General features: G+C 43.0%; 1 annotated feature.

Annotated features, from left to right (window-relative positions):
- Positions 3,931-4,337: a transcriptional cis regulatory region, noted in NCBI's record as "candidate enhancer chr16.1865 targeted for multiplex CRISPR interference". NCBI's record gives its function as "positively regulates PRKCB gene expression in K562 cells {active_cell/tissue: K562}" and the evidence as "EXISTENCE:mutant phenotype evidence [ECO:0000015][PMID:30612741]".

A 7,356-nucleotide genomic window follows, 5' to 3' on the forward strand; every position in this document is an offset into this window, starting at 1 on the left:
AATTAGGTTGTTTCCAGTTTCTCTCTACTAAAATTGATGTTTCAGTGAAAATTGCCATGAGAATGCCCACCGTCACCACTCACCAAGCACTTATTGTGCTGCGTGGCTTCCATTCCACATTTATTTCATCCTCACAACAACCCAATGAGGCAGACGTTATTGTGGTTTATTTCCTTTTCTTTTTATTAAATTATGAAAATAAAATGTGTCTCTGTAAAAGCAATTCAAGCAGAACCAAAGGGGCCTAAGGGGAAAGACCAAGCCCTTCCTCCCCTTTCCCTCCAATCTCACCGCTGCAATTCCCCAGAGATAACACTCATACATTTCTTGTATACCCTTCCAGAAATTTTTTGTCCATATCCAAACACATTGGGAAATGGACTCTGTACTGGCATTTCATGGCATGTATTTTACTCTGAAACTTCCTATTAGTCTGAGTGACATATCTCAAATGTCTTTTTTTTTTTTTTTTTTTTTTTTTTGAGACGGAGTCTCGTTCTGTCTTCCAGGCTGGAGTGCAGTGGTGCAATCTTGGCTCACTGCAACCTCCGCCTCCTGGGCTCAAGCGGTTCTCATGCCTCAGCCTCCCAAGTAGCTGGGACTACAGGTGTGTACCACGGCACCCTGCTAATTTTTGTATTTTTAGTAGAGACTGGCTTTTGCCATGTTGACCAGGCTGGTCTCAAACTCCTGACCTCATGATCTGCCTGCATTGGCCTCCCAAAGTGCTGGGATTACAGGTATGAGCCACCGTGCCTGGCCTCAAATGTCTTTCTATGTCAGAAAATTTCAATCCTATGAGCTGGCTATAATTATTTTCATTTTACACTTGACTAAATGAAGGCTTAGGAGGTGAAAGACTATGCTGTTGAATTGCATTGTGTGCCCAGAAAAAGATATGTTGATGTCCTTCTTATCCTCCAGTACCCCAGATGTGAGCTTAATTTGGAAATAGAGTCATTGAGGTAATTAGTTAAGATGAGGCTGTACAGGAGTAAGGTGGGCCATAATCCAATACAACTGGTGTGCTTATAAAAAGGGGCGATGTGGACACAAAATAGACAGGCATAGGAGGAAGATGTCATAAGAGACACAGAAAGAAGGCCATGTGAAGATGGAAGATTGGAGTGATACATCTGCAGCCATGGAGAGATTGCTGGAAACCACCAGAAACTGGGAAGAAGCAAAGGAGTCCCCTGCAGGTTTCAGAGAAGGCATGGCCTGGCCGACACCTTGATTTCAGATTTCTTGCCTCCAAAACTGAAACATACTTTATTATTTATTTATTTATTTATTTTGTAGAGATAGGGTCTTGCTATGTTGCCCAGGCTGGTCTTGAATTCCTGGGCTCAAGTGATCCTCCTGCCTCCAATTCCCAAAGCACTGGGATTACAGGTGTGAGCCACTGTGCCTAGCTCTTTTTTTTTTTTTTGAAATGGGGTCTCCCTCTGTCGCCCAGGCTGGAGTGCAGTGGTGCAATCTCAGCCCACTGCCACCTCTGCCTCCTGGGCTCAAGCGATTCTCCTGCCTCAGCCTCTCAAGTAGCTGAGATTCCAGGTGCCCTCCACGACGCCTGGCTAATTTTTGTATTTTTAGTAGAGATCAAGTTTCTCCACATTGGCCAGGCTGGTTTTGAACTCCCGATCTCAAGTGATTGGCCTGCTTTGGCCTCCCAAAGTACTGGGATTACAGGCGTGAACCACAGCGACCGACTGGCTCAGCTCATTTTTTAAAAACCACCCAGTTTGTGTGACTTTGTTAAGGCAGCCCTAAGAAACCCAAACACATGTCAAAGTTTCAAAACTCGTAGGTAGCAGAGCTGGAATTTGAACTCAGGTAGGTGTGACCCTAAGGCCAATGCATTTAAACGAACAGGATCTATCTATTTTCTTTTTTGAGCGAACCCCTGTATATAGTGCTTAGCCTGTGCCAGGCTCTAGGCTAAGCATTGGCATGTATCTCTCTGAAACTGGCATTTCGCCTTCTGGGCAGTGCAGTAATTTCCTCCTTGAGGTTGTCTGGTGGCTTCCACCAGGGGGCAGACCTGGGCTTTCGTGCACAGGCAGGAAAATAACACACAAGGCAGGAGGTGGACTTTTCCCTTCCCTTCCCTTCCCTTCCCTTCCCTTCCCTTCCCTTCCCTTCCCTCCCCTCCCCTCCCCTCCCCTCCCCTCCCCTCCCCTCCCCTCCCGTCTTCCCTCCCCTCCCCTCCCCCCCCCTTCCCTTCCCTTCCCTTCTTTCCTTCTTTCCTTTCTCTCTTTCTCTCTTTCTATCTTTCTTTCTTTCTTTCTGACGGAGTCTTGCTCTGTCCCCCAGGCTAGAGTGCAGTGGCGCTATCTTGGCTCACTGCAACCTCGGTCTCCTGGGTTAAAGCGATTCTCCTGCCTCAGCCTCCCAAGCAGCTGGGATTACAGGCGTCTGCCACCACACGTGGCTAATTTTTGTCTTTTTAGTAGAGACGGGATTTCACCATGTTGGCCAGGCTGGTCTCGAACTCCTGACCTCATGATCCACCCACCTCGGCCTCCCAAAGTGTTGGGATTACAGGTGTGAGCCACTGTGCCTGGCCAGGAGGTGGACTTTCTGGCAGTTCCCTCTGTAGAGATTGTCTGTAGGTTTGGTCTACCAAAGCAAAGACCACATTAAAAACAAAAAAACAAAAAACAAAAAACAAAAAAAAAAAAAAAAAAAAAAGAGAGAGAGAGAGGATCGACCCAGACGATTGAGTGCAAATAAACTTCCATGTTTTCTGAGGGAGAGAGAGCCAAACACCAGGGGTACAGGCAGTCTGATTTCCAGAGAGGGACTCTGTCATGGATGTGATGGGAGATGTGTTATCTGCTTTTTCTCCAAACAGATCCTGAACCCATTCTCACTCAGCAAGCTTCTGATGAAAAAACAACGAACATTTGTGTCATAGGCACAATTCTAGAGATGGTCATCCAATAATTAATCTTGCCGGGTGCGGTGGTTCAAGCCTGTAACCCCAGCACTTTGGGAAGCCAAGGCAGGAGGATCTCTTGAGTCCAAGAGTTTGAGACCAGCCTGGGTAACATAGAAAGACCCTGTCTCTAAAAAAAAAAAAAAAAAAAATTAAAAAATTAGCCAGACATGGTGGTGCACGCCTGTAGTCTCGGCTACTTGGGAGGCTGAATTGGGAGGATCACTCGAGTCCTGTAGTTTGAGGCTGCAGTGAGCTATGATCATGCCACTGCCCTCCAGCCTGGGCAACAAAGCCAGACCTTGTCTCTAAAAAACAAATAAAAAATTAATCTGCCTTTTTGTGCAATGGTCTCAGCAGCAGCAGCCGTATCTATACCACATGACCTTATACCCCTAGCTGAAGCAGAGCTTAGGGTTTTGACATGAGAGATGTAAAAGTGGCCCCTTAGGAGGAAGTTTGCACATTCCTGCTGCTGAGTTTCTGCAGCTGCCCTGGTTGCTGGCCCTGCTAAGCCCTGGTTGTTCAGCCCTTCCTTGGATTCTGTTAATATACCCAGTATCCATCCCATAATCTTTCTTTTTACAATGCCTTTTAAGCCAGTCGTAGTTAGTTTCTATTACTTGCAAAAGCACAAAACAAAAAAAACCCTGAATTTATATGAATAAGAATAGAAAAAATAAATGATTAAGTATATTATTTAAAGCCATGCAGGCAATTAAAAAGTTATAAATAATAAAGTCATTAGAACAACCAGCACCCAGAAAAGAGGTGGAGGTTCTCAATAAATATTTATTCAGTGACCGCAGGAATTTACCCACAATAATATCAAACAAAACTGATGTAGAAACAAGGGAAAAGGGGATAATAAGGCTGAACTAAATTTCGCTCTTTTCAATGGAGACAATATGGTTTTAAGTTGATCAATCAAAACACAGAAGCACAATCATATTATTTAGAATTATAGTGTGAACGCCAGAGTTAAAACAAGAAAACGTTTTCTGAGGAGTGGGAGAGTGTTTTTCTGTCTCCTTCTAAACATCTCCTTCTAAACTCTCAACCCTTTAATAATTTGGCAGAGGGTTCTAAGCTTGTTTGGAAACCCAGGCTGCGAGGGAGTAGGACTGAAATCCAGAACTCGCCCGGGTCACCGGCACGAGGCACATCCTCCCAGAAGGGGGTGCTGCTTTCTGATGTGCACAGAGGTGCTCACAGGCCAGACTCCACCTCCTGTTTGCCAGTCCCATAGGAGACAATGGTATCTCATTATTGTTTCAATGTGCATCTCCTTAATTGTGTGTGAGATCGAGTGGTTTCTCCCGTGTCTATAAGCCATGTGAATTGCCTCTTCATGTCCTTTGCACTAAATGGAAGCTGTGTCTCATCTCGTTCAGAACTTTCTTTTTCTTATCTGATCGTTTTATTACTCAGCTCCTCAGTTTAGCTCATTTTTGGCATACTAGCTGGGTTTTAAATTCTCCTTTCCTCTTCCTTCTTCTCCTCTACCCCTCTCTTCCTCCTCTATCCCTCTCTCCTTCTTTACAGATTTGATTTTGTAAATACCTCCCAGAATCCTAACACTCCTGCTTAGTTCCTTGCAACAGTGTTTGGGGAATCATACATACCAATGACAGGAATACATCTCGTATCGGTTACAAAATATAAAATGACCATCTTCCTTTTGTTCAGTGCCATTTACTTCTGCAAACATCCCTCCATTCTTTCTAGCTCTTCCACAAACCCTCTGCATTCTCCTATGGGCTTAGATTTTTAGGGCAAAAGCCAAGACATCTTGGAGATTATTGTGCTTTTCAGACCTGCCACAAACCCCCTCAGAGACTAGGACTTTCAAAGTTGACTTTCTGCTTGCTTGGCTGGGGGAAAGACAGTGGGGAGAGGAAAAGTGTATAAAAATCCATAAATTAAAGTCAAAATGTTATTCAATTACATTTGGGTAAACCCAGAAACAATTCTGGAAGCACTTGAAGGCAATATTTATCAGTGATTAGCCCGGGGGGATTTTATGTCTTACTTTGTATAATTTTCTATAAATTAGGATTATGCATGAGTTTTACTTTATTTTCCCCCCTTGGGCATCTCTCATATATATATATATACACGTATATATATATATATACACGTATATATATATACACTTGTATATATATACACATATATATACACGTATATATATATACACACGTATATATATACATATATATACGTGTGTATATATATATACGTGTGTATATATATATATATAATTTTTTTTAAGTGAGGTCTTGCTCTGTTGCCCAGGCTGGAGTGCAGTGGTGCAATCTTGGCTCACTGCAACCTCCGCCCCCCAGGTTCAAACGATTCTCCTGTCTCAGCCTTCTGAGTAGCTGAGATTACAGGCATGTGCCACCACGTCTGGCTAATTTTTGTATTTTTAGTAGAGACGGGTTTCCCCATGTTGGCCAGCTGGTCTGGAGCTCCTAACCTCAGGTGATCTGCCTGCCTCGGCCTCCCAAAGTGCTGGGATTACAGGCATGAGCCACTGCACCTGGAAATATTTTTCTTTTTAAAAATTTTTTTCTGGCCGGGCACAGTAGCTCATGCCTGTAATCCCAGCTACTCAGGAGGCTGAGGCAGGAGAATCACTTGAACCTGGGAGAAAAAAAAGGAAAGGAAATTTTAAAAAAATGTTTTTTAAAAATTCCTTTCTTTTTTTTTTTTTTGAAACAGGGTCTCACTCTGTAACCCAGGCTGGAGTGCAGTGGCACAATCTTGACTTGCTGCATCCTCAACCTCCCGGGCTCAAGCAATTTTCCCACTTCAACCTCCTAAGTAGCTGGGGTGACAGGCTTGCACCACCATGTCTGGCCAATTTTATAATTTTTGGTAGAGATGAGGTCTCACTATATTGCCTAGGCTGGTTTTGAACTCCTGGACTTAAATGATCCTCCCGTCTCTGCCTCCCAAAGTGCTGGAATTACAGGCATGAACCACCACTCCCGGCTCTCCTAATATTTTTTATTTGAATATTTTCTAGAAAAATAACATCGTAAAATTCAGAGTAACAAAATGTATACAATGAACACCTAATTTCTCTCTTACTTTCACCCAAGAAACAATTACAATTAATGTTCTCTTATGTAAATTCCTTGTGATATGATCTTTGTAGTGTCTCTATGTGTGTGTCTCTATCTCAATCTCTAACTCTGGATATCATCCTCCATTCTTTTTACACAAGTGGGTATGTCACCTACAGACTTTTATGTCCCCAGTGCTACAACTTGTAAATTGCTTAATGTCAGAGCCCATAAAAATCTACCTCATTTAAAAAAATGGCTGTGTAGCATTCTTCTGTGGAAGTTCTGTAATATAACAAACACTCTCCCATTGAGTGGGAAACATTGTTTCTCATCTTTTGCTACTATTAATAATGTCAAAAGAAATAACTTTGAGCAAATATCTTTACTCAGATTCCAGCTTATGTCTAGGATAAATTCTCAAAACTAGAGTTCCTGGGTCAAAGGATTTTTTTTTCTTCCTCATTTCTAATTTTTGATAGCTATTTCAGAATCTCCTTCCAAAGAAGTTGTACCAGTTTATGCTCACACCAACAATGTGTGAAGCTGGATTTTTTTTTTTTTTTAAGACAGGGTCTCACTCTGTCACCCAGGCTGGAGTGCAGTGGTTCGATCTCGGCTTCCAGGCTCAAGCTATTCTCCTGCCTCATCCTCCTGAGTAGCTGGGATTACAGGCATGTGTCACCACACCTGGCTAATTTTTGTATTTTTTGTTTTAGTAGAGACAGGGTTTAGTTATGTTGGCCAGGCTGGTCTCAAACTCCTGGCCTCAAGTGATCTGCCTGCTTTGGCCTCCCAAAGTTCTGGGATTACAGACATGAGCCACCACACCTGGCCAGAAGCTGAAGCTGGTTTTTTTTTTTTTTTTTTTTTTGAGATGGAGTTTCACTCTTGTCGCCCAGGCTGTGAACTCAGCTCACCGCAACCTCCGCCTCCCGGGTTCAAGTGATTCTAGTGCCTCAGCCTCCCTAGTAGCTGGGACTACAGATGTGAGCCACCACATCCAACTAATTTTTGTATTTTTAGTAGGGACGGGGTTTTACCATGTTGGCCAGGCTTGTCTCGAACTCCTGACCTCAGGTGATCTGCCCGCCTCAGCCTCCCAAAGTGAAGACATTTATTTATATAAATGAAGAAAGTATACAGATAAATTACACAAACACAAATTAGAGAAACTTTGATCTCTCTCTTCTACTTACTAAATTAGCAACAACAGGTAATACCCCTGCCCAAGTGGTGATGCTATAAAATGTTACAGCTCTTTGGGAATACAATAAGGCAAACATAAGCCATACAATTGTTCATATTATTCTATTTAATAATCCCACTCCCATGAATTTA

Source organism: Homo sapiens, chromosome 16 (genome assembly GCF_000001405.40).
Source record: "Homo sapiens chromosome 16, GRCh38.p14 Primary Assembly".
Taxonomy (NCBI): domain Eukaryota; kingdom Metazoa; phylum Chordata; class Mammalia; order Primates; family Hominidae; genus Homo; species Homo sapiens.